We start from the raw sequence: 22582 nt of genomic DNA on the forward strand, positions 1-22582 counted from the left end.
GTTTCCGGGAAGATGGCGGCTGTCGAAGCGGCTGCAGAGCCGGTAACGGTGGTGGCGGCTGTTGGGCCAAAGGCGAAAGACGAAGAGGAGGAGGAAGAGGAGCCGCTGCCACCGTGCGAGGCGGTGCGCTGGGCCCCAGTGGGGGCGGTGGCGGAGGCCCGGCCTGGGGCAACCGCGTTTTTAGAAGAGGCGACGGCCGAGGAGCCTGGCGCGGCCCCGGGCTCCCCGCCGGATTCGCCGGGCCGGACGCTGCGGCGGCTGCGGGCAGAGCGGCGGCGGCTGGACTCGGCGCTGCTGGCGCTGTCCTCGCACTTCGCGCAGGTGCAGTTCCGCCTGCGCCAGGTGGTGCGCGGGGCGCCGGCGGAGCAGCAGCGCCTTCTGCGGGAGCTCGAAGACTTCGCCTTCCGCGGCTGCCCTCACGTCCTAGGTTACGAAGGGCCCGGCGACCCCGCCAGCGATGAGGGCGATGGGCTGCCAGGGGACCGGCCATGGTTGCGGGGCGAGGACCAGGTGAGTGGCTGGAGCCGGGCCGCGAGGAATATGGGAATAGTGGGGTCGTGTGGGTGGCGATCCAGACCCGGATGATGGTGCATGCGGGGAGAAGCCTCCCCGACTCGGTCGGTGAGTACGTGTGTCGGAGACCAGGGGACTGGAGTGCGGGGCCGGCTGAAGGGCAAGAGGACAGAGGCCTGGGAACCTGAGGGTGAGCGGTGTGCACGGAGGATGTGGAGAGATGTCGGTGCGTGATGACGTGAGTGGTAGAGGAGCGGTGAGCGAAGTGAGTCGTTGAGAGGGCAGCAGAGCAGCCAAGAGCAGTGCTGCGCCCACTCACCTTTCCCTCACGTATCTCAGTCTTGAACACTTTGGCTGCTAGAGGACCCCGACTCTGGGGATTGGGAAAATTGGCAAAGGAAAGGAAAGTGAGTTGGAATCCGTGGAAATTTAGGTTAACTCCCTGTCCCTGCTTTCCTGAAATCTAGGCAGTCTTTACACTTCTTTGGGTGGGAGTTTGGATTAACAGCAGGGTCTCTTAGTAACTGAAATAAACACAACTCTTGATTAGATAAATTTCCTAATGTTGGAATTTTTCCTTTTTAAGAGACGGGAGGGTCTTGGTATGTTGCCCAGGCTGGTCTCGAACTCCTGGTCTCAAGCCATCCTCCCGCCTCAGCCTCAGGACTACAGGCGTGTGCCACCGTGCAGGCTATAATGTTGAAATTTTTAAACTCTTCCTCCATCCTGCTTAATCATTAGGCATTCTGAATGAGGTCCTCTGATAACTGACAAGATCGATTCAGTGTGCCTACCCCAGAAGTAGTGAAACTATGTATAAGACACCAGGTAAACGTTTCCTTACAAGCTTTGCATCTCTGGAAGTGCACAAAGTGCTGGCTTTATTGGAAGTGTTGAGGTACACTGCCTTTTCACTTTTTTTTTTTGAGACAGAGTCTCACTCTGTCACCTAGGCCAGACTGCATTGGCGCAATTTCTGCTTACTGCAACCTCTGCCTCCTGGGCTCAAGCAATCCTCCTGCCTCAGCTTCCCCAGTATCTGGGACTACAGGTGTGTGCCACCACACCCAGTTAATTTTGTTTATTTTTTGTTGAGGCGGGGTTTCACCACATTGCCCAGGCTGGTCTCGAACTCCTGAGCTCAAGCGATCTGCCCTCCTCAGCCTACCAAAGTGCTGGGATTAGAGAAGTGAGCCACCATGCCCCATCCCTTTTCACCATTTTATTCTTCAAACTACAATCTACATGTGGCTTTCTTCCCACTTACATTGGTTTTAGCCAAGAAGATTTATCAAGCAGATAATGATTTGTTTATTTTAGTCTGAACTGTTTCCAGTGCAATCCTGTGTTTACTGTTCCACCCTTCTCCACATACCTGCAACTCCTTACACAAGGAGCAGCCACCTCAAACTGTCAGATTTAAGGGCTAGAAAGGGGTGGACAGCACCAAAGGTTCTACATGATAGGAAACTCTGTTGTTCATTTTCACCTTTAGAAACAGTAGGCCAACCCCATTTTCCATGATGTGATTATGACACATTGCATGCCTGTAGCAACATTTCATGTACCCCATAAATATATACACATACTATGTACCCATAAAAATTAAAAACTAGCCCAGCGCAGTGGCTCACGCCTGTAATCCTAGCACTTTGGGAGGCCAAGGCGGGCGGATCACCTGAGGTTGGGAGTTCGAGACCAGCCTGACCAACATGATGAAACCCCGTCTCTACTAAAAATACAAAAAAAAAAAAAAAAAACTAGCCAGACATGGTGGCACATTCCTGTAATCCCAGCTACTCGGGAGGCTGAGGCAGGAGAATCGCTTGAACCTGGGAGGCAGAGGTTGCGGTGAGCCAAGATCGTGCCATCGCACCCCAGCCTGGGGCAACAAGAGTGAAACTCTGTCTCAAAAAAAAACACACAAAAAATTAAAAACTGAAAAAAAAAAAAAGACTGTGTGCAGTGGCTCATGACTGTAATCCCAACACTTGGGGAGGCGAAGGCTGGAGGAGGATCACTTGAGCCCAGGAGTTGGAGGCTGCAGAGAGCTATGATCATACCGCTGCACTCCAGCCTGAGTAACAGAGCAAGACCCTGTCTCAAAAAAAAAAGGCAAAAGAAACATTGTACCACCTTAAAAAAAAAAAAAAAAAGTAGTGCTCAATCCACCTACAAGTTGTAATCTTGTATTTATACATTGAATACATTGACAGGTGAACAGGTAGGACCAGAGTAGGGAATATCATTGAACTGAATGATTTACTTCTTACCACTTACCTTTTTTTTTCTTTTTCCTTTTTTTTTTTTTTTTTTTTGAGACAGAGTCTCACTCTGTTGCCAGGCTAGAGTGCACTGGCATGATCAGGACTCACTGCAGCCTTGACTCCCAGGCTCAGTAGATCCTCCTACCTCAGCCTCTCGAGTAACTGGGACCACAGGCGAGCATCACCATGCTCAGCTAGTTTTTGTATTTGTAGAGATGAGGTTTCACCATATTGCCCAGGCTGGTCTTGAACTCCTGGGCTCAAGCAAGCCACCCACCTTGGCCACCCAAAGTGCTGGATTACAGGCATGAACCACTGTACCCCGCCAATTTTTTTTTTTTTCTTGAGACAGAGTCTCACTCTGTCGCCCAGGCTGGAATGCAGTGGCACCATCTTGGCTCACAGCAACCTCCGCCTCCTGGGTTCAAGCGATTCTCCTGCCTCAGCTTCCCAAGTAGCTGGGACTACAGGTGCCCGTCACCACGCCTGGCTAATTTTTGTATTTTTAGTAGAGATGGGGTTTTGCCATGTCGGCCAGGCTGGTCTCGAACTCCTGGCCTCGAACGCCTGACCTCATAATCTGTCCGACTCGGCCTCCCAAAGTGCTGGGATTATAGGTGTGAGCCACCGTGCCCGGCCCTAAATTTTTATTTTCCACTCTGTTGCCCAGGCTGGTGTGCAGCAGCATGATCACAACTCACTGCATCCTCAACCTCCTGGGCTCAATCCATCCTCCCAGCTCAGCCTCCCAAGTAGCTGGGACCACAGGCGCACACTACCATGACTAGCTAATTAAAAAATATATTTTTTCTGTAGAGGTGGGGCTCTCCCTATGTTGCTCAGCTGGTCTCTGACTCCTGGGCTCAAGCCACCCTCCCACCTTAGCCTCCCTAAGTGCTGGGATTACAGGCATGAGCCACTGCACCTGGCCCCCAGTTTTTTTTTTTTTTTTTTGAGACAGAGTCTGGCCCTGTCACCCAGGCTGGAGTGCAGTAGCATGATCTCAGCTCACTGCAACCTCCACCTCCTAGGTTCAAGCTGTTCTGCTGCCTCAGCCTCCCTAGTAGCTGGGACTGCAGGCATGTGCCACTATCCCCGGCTAAATTTTGTATTTTGAGTAGAGACAGGGTTTTGCCATGTTGGCCAGGCTGGTCTCGAACTCCTGACCTCAAGTGATCCACCCACCTCAACCCCAAATATTTTAAACCAATATTTTCTCTTATCTTACTTCATACTGGAAATGATTTATGTTATTTCCTGCTTTGCACCAGAGCTCATTGTTCTCTCTTGTTTGCCCACACTCCAGCAAATAGCATATCGTAGCTACCATGGCAAGTGACAGAGTTCAACAGACTTGGTCATGAAAATGGAATCAAAATTTATGGCTGATTTCTTTCTTCCCTGACATAAAGTTGGGTAACAGTGAGAACAAAAACAAAAGACTTTTCCACAGTTCTTTCTCCTTAGGCTGGTTAGACAACTTTCTCCACTCAGAGTTCATTATTTGGAATTTGTCATTCTTTTCTTTTTCTTTTTCTTTCTTTCTTTTTTTTTTTTTTTTTTTTTTTGGACACAGAGTCTTGCTGTGACACCCAGGCTGGAGTGCAATGCTGCGGTCTTGGCTCACTCCAACCTCCGCCTCCTGGGTTCAAGCCATTCTCCTGCCTCAGCCTCCCAAGTAGCTAGGATTACAGGCACGTGCCACCACACTGGGCTAGTTTTTGTAGAGACGGGGTTCCACCATGTTGGCCAGGCTGGTCTCGAACTCCTGACCTCAGGTGATCTGCCTGCTTTGGCCTCCCAAAGTGCTGGGATTACAGGCATGAGCCACTGCGTTCGGCCATACTTTCCTTAATTCAGTTCAGTAACATACAACAAATGCATGTTGAGAACTTATCTTGTGCCAGACACTGTGCCTGGCATTTGTGGTTCAAAGTCAAAACCTTTGTCCTTAAGGAGTTCATAGACTAGAAGAGACAGAATCCTAAACAAATAATGTGATATGAGCTAGACTAGAAGTGTGAACAACCTCTAGAGGAAATGTTTAGTTATGCCTGGGGAAATCAGGAAGCCTCTTAAAGGAGAACTAGGCCTTCACCAAATGGGGAAGTGGGATAGGGTTCTAACAGTATGCAACTGCGCTCTGAAAGGATTACAGAGGGACTGCCCTGAGAAAAGGCTTGCTTTCATGTTGAGCAAAGTTAAAGCAAGAGGATTGCATTTTAAATACTTAAACAAAAAGTTAATTTGTTGTTTTCTTTTTTTTTTTTTTTTCATTTCTTCTCTCTCATTACTTACTTCTTCAGGGCTTGGTAAGTACCGTTTTAAGGTTAAATGTAATACGCTGTAGACTTCTAGTTTAAGACGCAGCCTTGCCCCTACAAATGATTTGCTGGTTTTGCTTTTTGTTTTTGAGACTCAAGAAAGACAAGGAAGAACCAGTGTTTGAGAATACGTTGACAAGACTTTACCACCCTGAAGCATTTTTATTAGTTGAAATGCAGAAACTACTGGTGGCCAACAGTTGAAAAAGGAGTCACTAGTCAGCAAAACTTACAGATACTTTTTTTTAAAAACGTTGTTACCTTCACATCCCCATTATGTGGCTTTTGGTTTTTTTTCACTGGCCTAGGCACTTGCCTTTTACTCTTTTGTTTTTGGTTTTGGTTTTTTGAGACAGAGTCTTGCCCTATTGCCCAGGCTGGAGTGCAGTGGTGAAAACAAAGCTCAATGCAGCCTCAACCTCCTAGACTCAAGCCATCATCTTGTCCCAGCCTCTTGTGTGACTGGGACCACCATGCCACCACGCCTGGCTAATTTTTTTTTTCTTTGAGACAGGGTCTTGTGAAGCCTTGACCTCTTGTGCTTAAGCAATCCTCCCGCCTCGGCCACTCAAGTAGCTGGGACTACAGGCATGCACCACCATGCCCAGCTAATTTTTAAAAATTTTTTTGTGGAGATGAAGTCTCACTGTGTTGCCCAGGGTGGTCTCGAACTCCTGGGCTCAAGTGATTCTTTTGCCTTGGCCTCCCAGAGTGCTGCAGTTACAGGCGTGAGACACCACTCCTGGTGCGTTTGATTCTTTTGATTTTTCAGAAGTGGTCTATCGTACATCAAAGGGACTTTGGTGAACCTTAGGAAAGCTGGTTATGAGTTTTTTTCTTTTTTTTTGAGACGGAGTCTCGCTCTGTCACCAAGGCTGGAGTGCAGTGGCGCGATCTCTGCTCACTGCAAGCTCCGCCTCCCGGGTTCACGCCATCCTCCTGCTTCAGCCTCCCAAGTAGCTGGGACTACAGGCGCCCGCCACCACACCCGGCTAATTTTTTTTTTGTATTTTTAGTAGAGACGGGGTTTTACTGTGTTAGCCAGGATGGTCAATCTCCTGACCTCGTGATCCACCCGCCTCGGCCTCCCAAAGTGCTGGGATTACAGGCGTGAGCTACCGGGCCCGGCCAGCTGGTTATGAGTTTTAAAGCCTCTCTCCACACCCTTACCCCAGATTCTTTTGCAAAATTTGGCTGCACAGAGTAATCAGGAGTTGTGTTATGGTAACTGGCTGTGGAGAATGGCATGTCTTAATTCCTGGGAGGCTATCTTGGCTGAGATAGATTGTCTCTACCCTAACTAGACCTTTGGGGGAAAAAAGGCAGTCTTAACAAAAAGCCTCATTGTATTAATATCCTATTTCCAATGAGGGACAGATAGTTTCTTAAAGAAAACACCCATTTGACAAATTGCCTAGGATGAAATAATTATTCTTACTTTTGAATCTATCGTATGAATTGTGTATTTCATTTGGATTATTGGAAACATCTTATATTTTATTGGTCATTACTGGCTCGAGCAGATTCTTAATGTGCCCTGAGTTTCCCTTTGCCTGCATAATAGACCCAATTATTTTCTTGCCTTAGAGTGAGCAGGAAAAGCAAGAGCGTCTGGAAACCCAAAGGGAGAAGCAGAAAGAACTGATACTGCAGCTCAAGACCCAGCTAGATGACCTGGAAACGTTTGCCTATCAAGAGGGCAGTTATGACTCGCTGCCACAGTCCGTGGTGTTGGAAAGACAGCGGGTGAGCAGACCCCAGAGGAACCTCCACCACTGCCCGAGGTTAACTTGTCCCTTCCAGCATTCACAGGGCATCCTCTCTCAGCTCAGTTCTCCTTTGGCCTTACTGAGAATCCCTCTGCTGGCCCAAATCAAAGGGAAATTTTACTGCTATGAGGAACCTTTCTTTGCTCACACATGGAAAACACAGATTCCAAAGTTTTGTAATACGATAATTGAGCTATTTCTTTTTGGTGATTGTAATTAATAATAGAAATAAGAATATAACAATAATTTCTTCATTTGATCACTTAAAAAATTCTACTTGGGCCCATCATACAATGTAATCTAGCTTTTTTGTTTTGTTTTATTTTGTTTTTGAGGTGGAGTTTTGCTCTTGTTGCCCAGGCTGGAGTGCAATGGCACAATCTCAGCTCAACACAGCCTCTGCCTCCTGGGTTCAAGCAATTCTCCTGCCTCAGCCTCCCAAGTAACTGGGATTATAGGCAGGCGCCACCATGCTGGGCTAATTTTGTATTTTCAGGAGAGATGGGGTTTCTCCATGTTGGTCAGGCTGGTCTCGAACTCCCAACCTCAGGTGATCTGCCCACCTTGGCCTCCCAAAGTGCTGGGATTACAGGCGTGAGCCACCGCACCTGGCCGTAATCTAGCTTTTTCCTACTACTCACTACCTTTTGATAAACATGCCAGGAATCCAGACTGACTTTAATACTGTATTTATTTAGGTAAGACCTGGGTAGACAGGTAAATCTCTTGGTAGAGATACAGTTACAACCTCCCCTGCATGTTTCTCTACCCCTGTGCTGTGGCTGTTTTTCTGGCTGGGCTGGAGTTTACGATATCAGATTTTTTTTTTTTTTGAGACAAAGTCTCAGTTTGTCACCCAGGCTGGAGTGCAGTGGCATGATCTTGGCTCACTGCAACCTCCGCCTCCAGGGTTCAAGCAATTCTCCTGCCTCAGCCTCCCGAGTAGTTGAGATTACAGGCATCCACCACCATGGCCAGCTAATTTTTGTATTTTTAGTACAGATGGGATTTCACCATGTTGGCCAGGCTGGTCTTGAGCTCCTGACCTCAAATGATCCACCCGCCTTGGCCTCCCGAAGTGCTGGGGTTACAGATGTGAGCCACCGCACCCAGCCTATTATCAGAATTTTAAATTGTTCCTAATAATGTCACTAGGATATTTTGGCTATAATGCACCTTGATATTTTATAGAGATTTTTCTTTAGTTGCCTACAGTAGGGCAAGAAGGGATAAGAAGGATTAGAAATTAAGAAAAATCAGGCCAGTTGCAGTGGCTCGTGCCTGTAATCCCAATTCTTTGGGAGGCTGAGGTGGGAGGATCTCTTGAGGCCAGAAGTTTGAGGCCAGCCTGAGCAACATAACGAGACCCTGTCTCTACAAAAAATTTAAAAATTAACTAGGTGGTAGCGTGTGTCTATAGTCCCAGCTATGGGGGAGACCGAGGCAGAAGGATTGCTTGAGCACAGGAGTTTGAGGTTACAGTGAGCTACGCTCACATTACTGGACCCTAGCCTGGGTGACTGAGCAAGACCCTGTCTCTTAAAAATCAGTATATATTCTCCTTGAAGCCTTTAGAGCAACTAAATATAAGGCTTGTTGGATCATCAGCCACTTTGGATTTTTCATACTGTTGTTTTCCTGAGTGAAATCTGACTAGCCTGGTAGAAATTTACTGTGAGTGGGAGGATCCATTTTTATCAGAGAACTGAGGGTTCTTTTTACTTTAAAAGTAGAGAGTCTATGTCCTCACCTTGATCAATCAGCAGTTAAGTCATTTACTTTCACAAATTTAGAGGTCTGTTTTTTATTTCCATTTAAGGACAGAAGACATTTTTAGATTCTCCTTCCTAACCCTCTCCCTAAAAATTCCAAAGGGTGTGCTCATTGCTTGTGATCTTGGTAGGTGATCATAGATGAGTTAATAAAGAAACTGGACATGAATCTGAATGAGGACATCAGTTCCCTGTCCACTGAAGAGCTTCGTCAGCGTGTAGATGCAGCAGTGGCTCAGATCGTCAACCCAGCCCGAGTCAAAGAACAGTTGGTTGAGCAACTGAAAACTCAGATCCGAGACCTTGAGATGTTTATCAACTTCATCCAAGGTTAGAGGAGGGGATGGGATGAGAAGGGTGGACAGGTGTCATAATAATTATACTTATTCTAAGTACTAGTAAAAAGGTTCTAATTCTGGTTTTTTGTTCTTTTTTGGGCGGTGGGGACAGTGTCTCTCTCTGTTCCCCTGGCTGGAGTGCAGTGGCACAATCTTGGCTTACTGCAACCGCCGCCTCCCAGATGGAAGCAATTCTTCCGCCTCAGCCTCCTGAGTAGCTCGGATTACAGGCTCCCACCACCCCACCCAGCTAATTTTTGTATTTTTAGTAGAGATGGTGTTTCAGCATGTTGGCCAGGCTGGTCTCGTACTCCTGACCTCAAGTGATCCGCCTGCCTCAGCCTCCCAAAGTACCAGGACTACAGGCATGAGCCACCATGCCCAGCCAAAAGGTGCCAATTCTTGATGTACTATTTAAGAGGCTTGATGGCTTAGTAGGGGAGGCAGCATTGGCAGAGTAGAAAGTGCATGGGTTTCAAAATCAGATAGTTAAAATCTCCACTCTCATACTCATTGGTTTTATGTCCTTGAGCATGTTACTAACTCTTCAGTCTCTCTTGTCATCCATAAAATGATGATTCATGGTTCATTCACTTAGCAAATATTTATTGAGCCAACTACTGTATGCCAGTCCTCATTTTACACAATTAAATAGGACAAGAGTTTGTGAAATTCTTGTTTCTAATAGGCACCATTAAGTATTATTTTTCCTTTAAAGATCTGCCATAAAGGGCTAAATAAGTGTCTCTTCTATAATTTCTGATTCCAGATGAAGTGGGAAGCCCCTTGCAGACAGGTGGTGGACACTGTGAGTGCAAGGCCGGTGGGAAGACAGGAAATGGCTGCAGCAGAACAGGCAGCAGCAGAACGCCTCCAGGAAACAGCAAAAGTAAGTGCAGTTTCCAGAACAGGCAAATCTCTAGAGACAGAAAGTAGATGAGTGGTTGCCTAGGGCTTGGGTGTGTTGAGGAGAAGAGGGGAATGAGAAATGCTGATGGTATGGATTTGCTTTTGGGAAGGATGAAATATTCTAAAATTGATTGCAGTGACAGTTATACAATTCTGAATATACTAAAAACCACTGAATTAAACACCTTAAATGGGTGAATCATATGGTATGTGAATTATATCTCAATACAGCTATTATTAACCAGAAAAAGGAAGTCCAGCTACATCCTGGGTGGCTCTTGCCTTCATGTGAGACCCAGCATGTGGCTCAGACTGATCTCAGCCTGTGATTTGTTGAGTGTAGCTCTGTGCCATCATGGCCTCTCACTGATGAGCCACTGTCTTTTCTAAGCAGCAAAGGCAGAGGATGTGAAGAAAGTCCGGGAGACGGGGCTGCACCTGATGCGGCGAGCGCTGGCCGTGCTCCAGATCTTTGCTGTTAGCCAGTTTGGTTGTGCCACAGGCCAGATCCCTCCAACCCTGTGGCAGAGGGTCCAGGCTGACAGAGACTACTCTCCCTTGCTGAAGAGGCTGGAGGTGTCAGTGGACAGAGTGAAGCAGCTAGCCTTGAGGCAGCAGCCACATGACCATGTCATCACCTCTGCCAACCTCCAGGACCTCTCTCTGGGAGGCAAGGATGAGCTGACTATGGCTGTGCGGAAGGAGCTAACGGTGGCTGTGAGGGACCTGCTGGCCCATGGACTGTATGCCTCCTCCCCAGGGATGAGCCTTGTTATGGCTCCTATTGCTTGTTTGCTGCCAGCCTTCTCCTCGGCCCCAGAGGCCATGCACCCGTGGGAGCTCTTTGTAAAGTACTACCATGCTAAGAACGGCCGTGCTTATGTGGAATCCCCAGCCCGGAAGCTCTCCCAGTCCTTCGCCCTTCCTGTTACGGGAGGCACTGTTGTCACCCCCAAACAGAGCCTACTGACAGCCATCCACATGGTGCTGACAGAGCATGACCCTTTTAAGCGCAGTGCAGACTCAGAATTGAAGGCCTTGGTGTGCATGGCACTGAATGAGCAGCGTCTGGTGTCCTGGGTGAACCTCATCTGCAAGTCCGGGTCACTCATCGAGCCTCACTACCAGCCCTGGAGCTACATGGCACACACAGGCTTTGAGAGTGCCCTCAACCTGCTCAGTCGCCTCAGCAGCCTCAAGTTTAGCCTCCCTGTAGATCTGGCTGTGCGCCAGCTCAAAAACATCAAAGATGCCTTTTGATGAGAGTGCCCTAACCCCAGACAAGCTCCTTGTTCAGTAGGGATAGATGTGCTAGTCTTCTAGCATAGGAGCAAGGAATCAGAGGTGGGGTTAAAGGCATTTTTCCCAGACCCTGCTCAGGCAGTCGGCCAAATGAGTGCAAAGTCTGTTTTCCCCACCAACTTAGCTCTCGGAAAGATGTGCTGGAGGGACCCTCTTGTTAAGAAGGTTCTGCCAGGCCGGGCGCGGTGGCTCACACCTGTAATCCCAGCACTTTGGGAGGCCGAGGCGGGCGGATCACAAGGTCAGGAGTTCGAGACCATCCTGTCTAACACGGTGAAACCCCATCTCTACTAAAAATACAAAAAAATTAGTCGGACATGGTGGCAGGCACCTGTAGTCCCAGCTACTCGGGAGGCTGAGGCAGGAGAATGGCGTGAACCCAGGAGGCGGAGCTTGCAGTGAGCCAAGATCGCGCCACTGCACTCCAGCCTGGGCGACAGAGTGAGACTCCGTCTCAAAAAAAAAAAGAAGGTTGTACCCACAGTATACGTGTGGGCACTTGTGCTTGAGCCTGTATTAAAGGAATCAGGCCAGGCACAGTGGCTCACGCCTGTAATCTCAGCACATTGGGAGGCTGAGGTGGGCGGATCACCTGAGGTCAGGAGTTCAAGACCAGCCTGGCCAACATGGTGAAACCCCATCTCTACTAAAAATACAAAAATTAGCTAGGCGGGGTAGTGCATGCCTGTAATCCCAGCTACTCAGGAGGCTGAGGCCGGAGAATCGCTTGAGCCCGAGAGGTGGAGACTGCAGTAAGCCAAGATCATGCCATTGCACTCCAGCCTGGGCAACACAGGGAGACTCCATCTCAAAAAAAAAAAAAAAAAAAAAAAGACATTCAACTTGAGGCTCCTGTTAGTTAAGCTATCTTCTTTCACTTGAAGCAGGTTTGAGAGGCCTAGGCCAGAATTTAAATTCCTTTTATGAATAGATTTCCCTTTCTTCCTGACCCCAAGGTCAGAGGAGACTATATATTCCATGGCTGCCTCTAAGACTAGGAATAGGAATATCTGAAAACAGCATTTCTAAGGGTGGTAACCACAGGTCGATTTTAATACGAGTCCTTTTTCTTGTAGAGGTAAGTAAAATCTTCCTGACAAGGTAGTCCTCTTTTCATGGCACAGACAATGGGCTTTCTGTTTATGAGGGGTGAGAAGTGATGTTTGTTACTATGTTCTCCAGCAAGTAAACATTCCTCTGCTCACCTCCCAACAAGACTAACAGTCTTTTTAGAAGTAAATATATTCAAGACAAACGAGAAAATCCTGGCTACCCAAGTCGAGTATATACAGGAATACAAATCGGTAACCAGCAGCTGTTCCTCAGGTTGTGACTCACTGAGCACCACTTGTCCTGGAGGCTGGATGATGGAGGACATCTGGTTATAGGTACTGTAGCAGGGATAGGTGCCACAGGAGGATAGGAACTACAGCAGATCGCTGTTTCCAGAACGGGGAGGAGTATCTCATTGTGAAACAGACTCTAGAGTGGTTCTATTTGGTCTTCAGTGTTTTAGCCTCGTTAGTTCATATTTGGCATGCAGCTTGTGGTGAGTACTGTTCTAGGACTGGCCAAAAATGGGCAAAATGTATCACTCCAAACACTACTGATTCAGCATTGTTTTCATGTCTTAAAATTGCCACCTGCACTTTGTTTCTGCACTATTATGTAGTGCATTTTAACTTAAATTTTTTCCAGCAACATGTTACTTATTTAAGATACATTACTGATATTTCATTATAATTAGTTCACCTTCCCTGTGAAACAAGAGAATTGTAAAATGTTGTGGAAAATGATACATATGTGGATGCTAATGAAATCATAGTATTTTGTGTAGCTTCTCTGAAGACCTTAGAGATCTGCAGCTTTGGTTTATAAGTGTTTGGGCCTTATCAGCCCATCTGATCCAGATCAATATTTTTTTGAAAACTGCCTGTATCCTCTGTCCTCTGTTACGGATCATCTCAGCTTTGGTGGTGGTAGTAGGGGTTTTTTGCCTGAAAAAATTCACTAAAAAGTCCCCTTGGCATGACCATCTCCTCCTGCCCACGCCTGTAGTCCCTCCCCACAACAGATGTCATCACACATGCTGCTTTTGGAATGGAGACCTTTTTTTTTTGAGATGGAGTCTCGCTCTGTTGTCCAGGCTGGAGTGCAATGGCGTGATCTCAGCTCACTGCAACCTCCGCCTCCTGGGTTCAAGCGATTCTCCTTCCTTAGCCTTCTGAGTAGCTGGGAGTACCGGCGCCTGCCACCACGCCTGGCTAATGTTTGTATTTTTAATAGAGAGGGTTTCACCACATTTGTCAGGCTAGTCTCGAACTCCTGACCTCAGGTGATCCACCCACTTCAGCCTCCCAAAGTGCTGGGATTATAGGCGTGAGCCACCACACCCAGCCAGGATTGGCACTTTTAAATCCACTTGTCTGGATATCACTTTGGGTGGTAACTGGTATAGCCATATGGCGTAGCCCAGCGATCACCCCAGTATTGCCTTTTTCAAATCACAAAAACAAAACTTGTATTAAGGCTTTGTGCTAGCATTACAGGAAGCATTTTCATTTGTCTCATTCTAATTAAATTCTCACTACTTACAAAGTGGGACAGTATTATCCCCACTTTACAGCTGAGGAAACTGAACTGCAGAGAGGTTAAATATTTTGTCCTGGTTTACATGATGATGGAAGACCTGAGATTTGGAGTCAAGTTTTCTGAATCCAGAGCCCACAGTCTATCTTTTCACTTCATTGTATCATGTTGTTTCTAGATTTTGGTTTCTCTTTCTCCTTTATCCACCACCCTCATTCCTCCCCTCACTTTGGGGAGGAGAAGGTATTTTCTACACAACTGCCAGAAATTTCAGCTGCCAAAGGACAAGGCTGCAGGGAGACAGGCCGGCAGCCATGACTTTCATGTCTAAGTTCTTGAAACCTAAATGTGTGTATCAACTGAGACAACCCAACAATTCCATCAGCATCCCTGCAGTCAGATATCTGCTAAGCTCTGATATCATCTGTCATTACTGAGAACAGAGCTCTGTCCTTCACTTAGGGTGAGACAGGACAAGGGAGGAGAGGCAGGCCAGTCCACCCAGATCCAAGGATATGCAAGAATGGAAGGGTCAAGAGCCACGGATATGTATGCAGTGGAAATGTAGGGTGTGTTGTACAAGTATGATCTGCAAAGTATTGTTAAAGCCGTCTAAGGTGCTCTCCAATCATTCATTCACTATTGATCACTTAGCAACTGCCTGCCTAGACTAGATGCTAAAGAAAGAGAAAAGTAAACCTACCCCGTGCCCTCAACAAACACAGTCTAGCAAAGGAGATACCATACCAATTGGAGATTTGGAGAGACTGTTAAAATATAGATTGCTGGGTCCCATCCCCAGAGTTTTTTATTGAGTTGTTTTGGGGTGGGGCCTGAGAATTTGGTTTCTAACAAGTTCCTAGGTTATGGTGATGCTGCTGCTCTGGGAACCACACTTTGAGATGAGAACCACTCATATCCAAACTAAGATTATGTTCTCTAATAAAGGTAAGTACAGACTGGATTGCTGAGAGAGCCCAGAGAAAGGAGAGATTAATTCTGCCTGGGAGAATTCTGGAATAACCTTGAAGGATGGATAGAATTTGAATAGGATTTTGCCTGGTTACTTGGAGAGGAAGAAAAAGACACAAGGAACAGCCCAGGGGGTATGTGAAGGGTGGGGGAGTCAGAAATTTATGCTGCAGGAAAGGTAGTAAGGAAGGAAAGGAGTGAAAGTTCATACTATTGAATAAGCCAACAATGGAGTTCAAGAAAAGTGAAGAACTTTTCAAGAAAAAGAGTTGTTTAAAGCTGTTGCTCAAAATAAGATCTATAGATCATATGGCTCCACTCCAGACCAGAATGACTATCTCTGAGGTTGGAGATACTTCTTTAATAAGCATCCCGGGGGCCAGGCGCGGTGCCTCACACCTGTAATCCCAGCACTTTGGGAGGCCTAGGCGGGTGGATCACAAGGTCAGCAGATCAAGACCATCCTGGCTAACATGGTAAAACCCTGTCTCTACTAAAAAATACAAAAAATTAGCTGGGCGTGGTGGCGGGTGCCTGTAGTCCCAGCTACTCGGGAGGCTGAGGCAGGAGAATGGCATGAACCCGGGAGGCGGAGCTTGCAGTGAGCCGAGATCTCGCCACTGCACTCCAGCCTGGGAGCGAGAGGGAGACTCCGTCTCAAAAAAAATAACAAGCATCCCGCTGGGCATGGTGGCTCACGCTTGTAATCCCAGCACTTTGGGAGGCCAAGGTGGGTGGATCACCTGAGGTCAGGAGTTCGAGACCAGCCTGGCCAACATGGTGAAACCCCATCTCTACTAAAGATACTAAATTAGCCAGGCGTGGTGGCATGCGCCTGTAGTCCCAGTTACTCGGGAGGCTGAGGCAGGAGAACTGCTTGAGCTCAGGAGGCGGAGATTGCAGTGAGCCAAGATCATGCCACTGCACTCCAGCCTGGGCAACAAAGTGAGACTCCATCTCAAAAATAAAAGACATAAGACAAAATTCAGAGGATTTAGTTACTGATTTGATTTGGAGGGTAAGGTGGCTTAGTCCTAGCTACTTGGGAAGCTGAAATGGGAGGATCGCTTGAGGCTAGGAGTTTGAAGCTACATCACACCTGTCAATAGCCACTGCATTCAAGCCCGGCAACATAGCAAGACCTCATCTCTTTAAAAAATGAAATATATAAGAAAAAGACATTTTAAAAACCATTGGAGGCCAGGCGTGGTGGCTCATGCCTGTAATCCCAGCACTTTGGGAGTTCGAGGCAAGCGGATCACTTGAGGCTGGGAGTTCGAGACCAGCCTGGCCAACATGGCGAAACTCCATCTCTACAAAAAATATAAAAATTAGCCGGGTGTGGTGGCAGGAGCCTATAGTCCCAGCTACTTAGGAGGCTGAGGCAGGAGAATCGCTTGAACCCGGGAGGTGGAGGTTGCAGTGAGCTGAGATCGCGCCACTGCACTCCAGCCTGGGTGACAAAATGAGACTCCGTCTGAAAAAAAAAAAAATTGTAATGGGGCCGGGCACGGTGCTGCGTCGCCTGTAATCCCAACACTTTGGGAGGCTCAGGTAGGAGGATCACTTAATCCCAGAAGTTTTTGAGACCAGCCTGGGCAATATAGTGAGTCCCCATCTCTACCAAAAAAAAGTTCTTTGATTTTGTTTTTGTTTTTTTCTTCAAATTACACGGGCATGGTGGCACATACCTGAAGTCCTAGCTACTCAGGAGGCTGAGGTGGGGGGATCACGAGCCCAGGAGGTTGAGGCTACAGTGAGCCATGATTGTGCTACACACCATTCAGCCTGGGTGACAGAGCGAGACCCTGTCTCAAAAAACAAAACAAAAGCCATTGCAATGGGATCCTGAGGGATACAGGGAAAATTGTATCACTGGAGAGCTTCAGGAGAGAACTGATGAAATCCTGGTTGTTCCACATCTTGCCCAAGACAAATCCTATAGGTTCAGATAAGCAAAAACTGTGAGATAGTTTATCTTTCCCTTAAACTCGGAAAGCACATAAGGTACCATGTGAAAACACTCTTCTGGTGAGTGATGGGAAATAATTCAGTTTGAGAGCCAACTAGACCTAGATTCAGACCTAGATTTGAATCCCATCTATGCCACTGATTAGGATTAACCTCAGACAAGCAATTTATCCTCTCTGAATTGCAATTTCCTCATGTCTAAATGGGAGGAGAATGCCCAAGATGCAGAGTTGTGAGGATTAAACAGGCTGCCGGCTTGTATAAAGTGCTCACATCTTGCCTGGGAGAGAATCGCTGCTCAGGATGGTGACATGGTAAACAGTATGGGTTCAGGAGTTGAACTGCTTGAGGCTGAGCCCCAGCTCCACTATTTAACCACTATAGACTTCGGGCAAATCTCTCTAAGCCAGTTTCCTCGACTCTAGAATGGAGATAATAGTATCTATTTCTTAGTGTTATGATGACCAAATCAGATGATGTGCATAAATAGATTAACCTGACCTGGCACAGGGTAAGCAGCTGCCATTCTTCTCCTCTACCTCCCTCATGCTTATTCTAGTTGGTAATGTCAGTGACACCACTAGACTTTAACTGTTGGGGGTAAATATCCTTTTTGTTTGTTTTTTTAAAACCAAATTTAGCAGTGGGGGGTTGTATACCAACTTTAGTGACCCTAACGTTGATAAGTTCTGATAACCCACTACTATCGGACCAGCCACCCTTACTGATCTTTGTCCCTCCCTCTTTAGCTAACAGTGCCCCCGACAGGCACCAATAAATGCCCTATTTTTTTCCCTGTGTCTCCCAAGAGAAAAAGTAAATTTCAGATTGTGTTCCCCCTCCTAGCGCCAGAGAAAGGAACTACAACAAAGCCTAGCTGCTGAGTCCAGAGCGCACAGCACAGTCGCCCTCCCAGCTCTTCCGTCGGCCGGGAGGAGTCTCCTTTGCTCTTGTCTACTGCTGGAGCTGCTAATAAAGTTTCATTCGAATACTTGAGCTGCCGCGCCCTGCGTTTCCCTCATGAGCTTCTTCCGCCCGCAACACGAGACTCAGCACCACACAATCAGCGTGGCAAAGCCTGAAGGGCGGGACAGGAAGTGAGGTCACTCCTCACCGGGGTGAAAGGTTAGCGGAAGTGTCCTTCTTTCCTTTTTGCTGGTAGGGCCGGGTGGTTGCTGCCGGTAAGTAGAAGCTTGGGTTGAATCTTTCAATCCGCTGCCATCCGCGGCTTGGGGGTCGAAGGTCCGGGCGGCGCCGGGTGCATTCCTTCCCTAGGTCTCTGGCGGCTACGTATCCGATCCTGTCCTGCGAGCAGGGCCCTCGGGCGGCCTTGACCAAGGCGACAGTGAACACAGTCTGAAGTTCCGGCCCAAGACCTGGGCTTGCTGGCAGGAGTCAGCTCTGGGCATCTTTGGCTTTACGGATTTTTAAGTGGCCCTTTCTCCTTGCTCTCTGCAGAAATGGGCAAGTTCATGAAACCTGGGAAGGTGGTGCTTGTCCTGGCTGGACGCTACTCCGGACGCAAAGCTGTCATCGTGAAGGTATCAGCCTCGCGGGACTCTGCGTCCTTGCATGCCGGGACCAGGCTGGCTGCGGCGGGGCGGGCAGGCTTGGAATTCAAGGCCTGTTTCTGGGGCAGTAGCCAGTGAGCACGGTCAGGGTGAACGTGGGAGAGTTTTTGAGAGAGGAAGAAGCACAGTAAAAGCAAATGTGAGCTGAATTGGGCTCCCAACGCATAAAGCCTTCTCCACCAGAGGCTTTAAATATATAGTAATAGTGGCTGACATTGCACGCTTGCTATGTGCTCCCACTGCCTTTCAGGTATTGTCATGTGCAGTCCTTGAAGTAATCATAGGGGATTCCTTTTCTTTTCTTTTCTTTTTTTTTTTTTTGAGACGGGATCTCTGTCCAGGCTAAGTGCAGTGGCGTGATCACTGCAGCCTCGACCTCCCGGGCTCAAGCGAGTCTCCCATCTCAGCCTCTCGAGTGGCTGGGACTACAGGTGCGTGCCACCATCCCCAGCTATAGGGGGTTCCTTCCTGTTGCTAAGGTTTGGAGGTGTTCTGTTATTTACCTGAAGTGCTGCAGCTGGGAATCTGTAAGAAGAGGAGGAAATTGCTTTTAGAAAGGTCACATAGCCCCTCACTGTTTTCCTCTTATCCATGATTTTGTAGCTTCTTGAGAGAGTTCCCTAGGCTCTGGCCACATACACCACTGCGTTTTGTTGTTGTGGGGACACTGGAGTACCCCTGGATTCCCCTCTCCCATCTCCTGAGACTGATCTCTGGAGTTAGGCTGTGGTGTCTTAACCTTGGCTGTACACTTCACTAGCAGTGGAGCAAGTGAATAGATACCAAGTCCTGTGAGCAGTGCTTGGCATATAGCAAGTACTTCTTAAATGTTAACTGTTGCTACTTTTAAATCTCTTACCTCTAGTAAGCCGTTCCAGATGCTTCCTGATGGAGATAAACACTGTTCTGTTTCTCTTTGGTCATTTCTCATAGCTTTCTGTGATTTTTCTCTTTATAATGGTGGATCTTGGAGACCTGAGGGTGGAAATATTTTTTGGACACTGCACTACCTCTAACACAGGGCCTAAATAGGCCCTCAGTGAATAACAAATGTAATTCTTACTCATTTAGAACATTGATGATGGCACCTCAGATCGCCCCTACAGCCATGCTCTGGTGGCTGGAATTGACCGCTACCCCCGCAAAGTGACAGCTGCCATGGGCAAGAAGAAGATCGCCAAGAGATCAAAGATAAAATCTTTTGTGAAAGTGTATAACTACAATCACCTAATGCCCACAAGGTGAGCATTTCAAGAACTAGAATTTAAATTTCTTCTCCCTGCTCTGTTGAATAATGAGACAGACCTTGCAGCCATTCCAACACCAGGAAGGGATATCATTTCCAAAATGTTCATCTTCAACTCATAAAGTGGCTATGGTTTCCAGTTTTGCCTTTGATCCATCTTTTAAGTGTTGGGTAAAGATTGTTTTCCATCCACAGTAAACACAGGCATGGGGTCTGATCTGCCCTCTTCCACTGTTCCACCCTCAAGGATAAATACAATAGGTTTCAAAAAGTCTGTGAGTGCGTGAAAGCAAGTCTTCCCCAATTAATTTTACTCACCTGTTGGGCCCTTTAGTCTGGGGACATACACTGTCTTAGTACAGTGTTTTGTTTTGTTTTGTTTTTTTTTGAGACGGAGTCGCCCAGGTTGGAGTGCAGTGGCGGGATCTCACACCATTCTTCTGCCTCAGCCTCCCGAGTAGCTGGGAGTACAGGCACCTGCCACCACACCTGGCTAATTTTTTTTTTTTTGTATTTTTAGTAGAGACGGGGTTTCACCATGTTAGCCAGGATGGTCTCGATCTCCTGACCTCGTGATCTGCCCACCTCAGCCTCCCAAAGTGCTGGGATTACAGGCGTGAGCCACCGTGCCCGGCCAGTACAAGTGTTTTTTAAGAAGTACAAGAGGCCGGGCACAATGGCTCACGCCTGTAATCCCATCACTTTGGGAGGCCAAGGCGGATGGATCACCTGAGGTCAGGAGTTTGAGACTAGCCTGACCAACATGGTGAAACCCTGTCTCTACTAAAAATACAAAATTAGCTGGGCATGGTAATCCTGTAATCCCAGCTATTTGGGAGGCTGAGGCAGAAGAATCGCTTGAACCCGGGAGGTGGAGGTTGCAGTGAGCCAAGATCACACCATTGTACTCCAGCCTGGGCAAGGAGAGCAAAGCTCCGTCTCAAAGAGGTGCAAGGCCGGGCACAGTGGCTCACGCCTACAATCCCAGCACTTTGGGAGGCCGAGGCGAGCGGATCACAGGGTCAGGAGATCGAGACCGCACTGGCTAACACGGTGAACCTGGGAGGTGGAGATTGCAGGGAGCCGAGATCACACCACTGCACCTCCAGCAAAAGAGGTGCGAGAATTGAGAAAGTCCTGAACAATAATTGCCAGAACCCAGCAGCATGCACCTTAAAGTTTGCTGCTGGTATTGCACATTTACTCTGGGTTGGCTGACCTAAAGGGGCAGAGAGAGGCCGGACACCATGGCTCACGCCTGTAATCCCAGCACTTTGGGAGGCCGAGGCAGGTGGATCGCTTGAGGTCAGGAGTTCGAGACCAACCTGGCCAACGTGATGAAATCTCATCTCTACTAAAAAAAATTAGCTGGGCATGGTGGCTGGCACATGTAATCCCAGCTATTCCGGAGGCTGAGGTGGGAGAATCGCTTGAGTTTGGGAGGTGGAGGCTACAGTGAGCTGAGATGGCACCACTGCACTCCAGCCTGGGTGACAGAGCGAGACTCCATCTCAAAAAATAAAAATAATAATAAAAGGGCAGAGAGAGCTGTTTCTTGGGTGCTGGGATGTGGTGGGGTTGAGGCAGCTAGTGTTTGGGCTGTCATGAGAGTGACTGCATTGGCAGAACTTGAACAATAAGGAAATGATTTCAAGTAGAAAGTTAGCTAACTGTCATGATGAAAGTCAAGAAGGCCTAATTTGGCCGGGCACAGTGGCTCAGGCTTGTAATCCCAGCACTTTGGGAGGCCGAGGCAAGCGGATCACGAGATCAGGAGATCGAGACCATCCTGGCTAACACAGTGAAACCCCGTCTCTACTGAAAGTACAAAAAATTAGCCAGGCATGGTGGCAGGCGCCTGTAGTAGTCCCAGCTACTCGCAAGGCTGAGGCAGGAGAAGGGCGTGAACCTAGGAGGCGGAGGTTGCAGTGAGCCGAGATTGCGCCACTGCACTCCAGCCTGGGCAACAGCGAGACTGTGTCTCAAAAAGTGGGGGAGGGCCTCATTTGATGATTCTTAGCTAGAAAAATAAAGTAGTTGTGGGAAATTGAGAATGAAACATTGAATTTTACATTTTATTGGCTTGAATCCAATAAATGTTAAAAGTGAATTTTCAGGCCGGATGCGGTGACTCACGCCTATAATCCCAGCATTTTGGGAGGCCAAGGCGGGCGGATCACGAGGTCAGGAGATCAAGACCGTCCTGGCTAACACTGTGAAACCCCGTCTCTACTAAAAAAATACAAAAAATTAGCCAGGCCTGATGGCGGGCACCTGTAGTCCCAGCTACTCGGGAGGCTGAGGCAGGAGAATGGCGTGAACCCGGGAGGCGGAACTTGCAATGAGCTGAGATCACACCACTGCAGTCCAGCCTGGACGAAAGATTCAGACTCCGTCTCAAAAAAAAAAAAGTGTGAATTTTCAGATAATGTCATCGGGACATGGCTTTTGATGGTTGCTTCTAAGGAGTCAGACCCTGATTCCCTAGTGTCCCACAAGGATTTGGGCTGTATAGGGGCCCCGGCAGTATGTGGGCTAATCCTGCCTCTCCACCTTTGTCCCCAGGTACTCTGTGGATATCCCCTTGGACAAAACTGTCGTCAATAAGGATGTCTTCAGAGATCCTGCTCTTAAACGCAAGGCCCGACGGGAGGCCAAGGTCAAGTTTGAAGAGAGGTAAGTAGGCTTTGGTAGTGAATGGTGGAGTATGGTTTCACTATTTCCATTCCTTTCCTCATTGGTGTCCTCTTTTTTTCCCTTCTAGATACAAGACAGGCAAGAACAAGTGGTTCTTCCAGAAACTGCGGTTTTAGATGCTTTGTTTTGATCATTAAAAATTATAAAGAAAAAAAGCCTGTGTCTGCATGCTGTATGTATTACCAGACTGTGAAAAGGAGAACATTATTGAATAGGAAACACTGGGTGGGCTGGGCACGGTGGCTCACGCCTGTAATCCCAGTACTTTGGGAGGCCAAGGCGAGCGGATCACCAGGTCAAGAGATGGCCAACATGGTGAAACCTTGTCTCTCCTAAAAAATA

General features: G+C 47.8%; 2 protein-coding genes and 1 long non-coding RNA gene across 9 annotated transcripts, besides 6 other annotated features; 2 read left to right on the forward strand and 1 right to left on the reverse strand.

Moving 5' to 3' along the window:
- Window positions 1–14578, forward strand: RUNDC1 (RUN domain containing 1). 4 transcript variants are annotated; one of them, XM_005257078.5, is made up of 6 exons: window positions 1–510; window positions 5087–5092; window positions 6692–6850; window positions 8777–8975; window positions 9753–9872; window positions 10284–14578. In XM_005257078.5, the coding sequence occupies exons 1-6, from the start codon at window positions 13–15 to the stop codon at window positions 11150–11152; spliced, it is 1851 nt and encodes a 616-aa protein (XP_005257135.1). In that variant the 5' UTR covers window positions 1–12; the 3' UTR covers window positions 11153–14578. The 4 variants fall into 4 exon arrangements, with proteins under 4 accessions (XP_005257135.1, NP_001308310.2, NP_001381151.1 ...); NM_001321381.3 differs by having other exon boundaries at window positions 10287–14578; NM_001394222.1 differs by lacking the exon at window positions 5087–5092.
- Window positions 68–317: a silencer, noted in NCBI's record as "silent region_8549". NCBI's record gives its function as "represses an Ori minimal core promoter by ATAC-STARR-seq in GM12878 lymphoblastoid cells {active_cell/tissue: GM12878}" and the evidence as "EXISTENCE:reporter gene assay evidence [ECO:0000049][PMID:35858748]".
- Window positions 10092–10593: an enhancer, noted in NCBI's record as "H3K4me1 hESC enhancer chr17:41142673-41143174 (GRCh37/hg19 assembly coordinates)". NCBI's record gives its function as "activates a minimal SCP1, AML or CMV promoter by ChIP-STARR-seq in primed H9 embryonic stem cells {active_cell/tissue: H9 hESC(primed)}" and the evidence as "EXISTENCE:reporter gene assay evidence [ECO:0000049][PMID:30033119]".
- LOC124904006 (uncharacterized) lies at window positions 12221–19369 on the reverse strand. The gene is made up of 2 exons (XR_007065759.1): window positions 19157–19369; window positions 12221–18822 (listed from the first exon to the last, which is right to left on the reverse strand). It is a non-coding gene; the product is annotated as an uncharacterized LOC124904006 (long non-coding RNA).
- Window positions 17412–18611: an enhancer, noted in NCBI's record as "CDK7 strongly-dependent group 2 enhancer chr17:41149993-41151192 (GRCh37/hg19 assembly coordinates)". NCBI's record gives its function as "activates an origin of replication core promoter dependent on BRD2, BRD4, P300/CBP, MED14 and CDK7 cofactors, with strong dependence on CDK7, by STARR-seq in HCT116 cells {active_cell/tissue: HCT116}" and the evidence as "EXISTENCE:reporter gene assay evidence [ECO:0000049][PMID:35650434]".
- Window positions 17577–17886: an enhancer, noted in NCBI's record as "active region_12230". NCBI's record gives its function as "activates an Ori minimal core promoter by ATAC-STARR-seq in GM12878 lymphoblastoid cells {active_cell/tissue: GM12878}" and the evidence as "EXISTENCE:reporter gene assay evidence [ECO:0000049][PMID:35858748]".
- RPL27 (ribosomal protein L27) lies at window positions 17709–22395 on the forward strand. Of its 4 annotated transcripts, none has more exons than NM_001349921.2 (5): window positions 17709–17851; window positions 18185–18267; window positions 19369–19538; window positions 22109–22219; window positions 22308–22395. In NM_001349921.2, exons 2-5 carry the CDS (start codon window positions 18187–18189, stop codon window positions 22354–22356), a joined length of 411 nt encoding a protein of 136 aa, NP_001336850.1. In that variant the 5' UTR covers window positions 17709–17851; window positions 18185–18186; the 3' UTR covers window positions 22357–22395. The 4 variants fall into 4 exon arrangements, 3 of the variants coding, with proteins under 3 accessions (NP_001336850.1, NP_000979.1, NP_001336851.1); NM_000988.5 differs by lacking the exon at window positions 17709–17851 and adding an exon at window positions 17855–17907; NR_146327.2 differs by lacking the exons at window positions 17709–17851; window positions 19369–19538 and adding an exon at window positions 17855–17907.
- Window positions 17897–18136: an enhancer, noted in NCBI's record as "active region_12231". NCBI's record gives its function as "activates an Ori minimal core promoter by ATAC-STARR-seq in GM12878 lymphoblastoid cells {active_cell/tissue: GM12878}" and the evidence as "EXISTENCE:reporter gene assay evidence [ECO:0000049][PMID:35858748]".
- Window positions 18207–18316: an enhancer, noted in NCBI's record as "active region_12232". NCBI's record gives its function as "activates an Ori minimal core promoter by ATAC-STARR-seq in GM12878 lymphoblastoid cells {active_cell/tissue: GM12878}" and the evidence as "EXISTENCE:reporter gene assay evidence [ECO:0000049][PMID:35858748]".

Source organism: Homo sapiens, chromosome 17 (assembly GCF_000001405.40).
Source record: "Homo sapiens chromosome 17, GRCh38.p14 Primary Assembly".
NCBI classification, from domain to species: domain Eukaryota; kingdom Metazoa; phylum Chordata; class Mammalia; order Primates; family Hominidae; genus Homo; species Homo sapiens.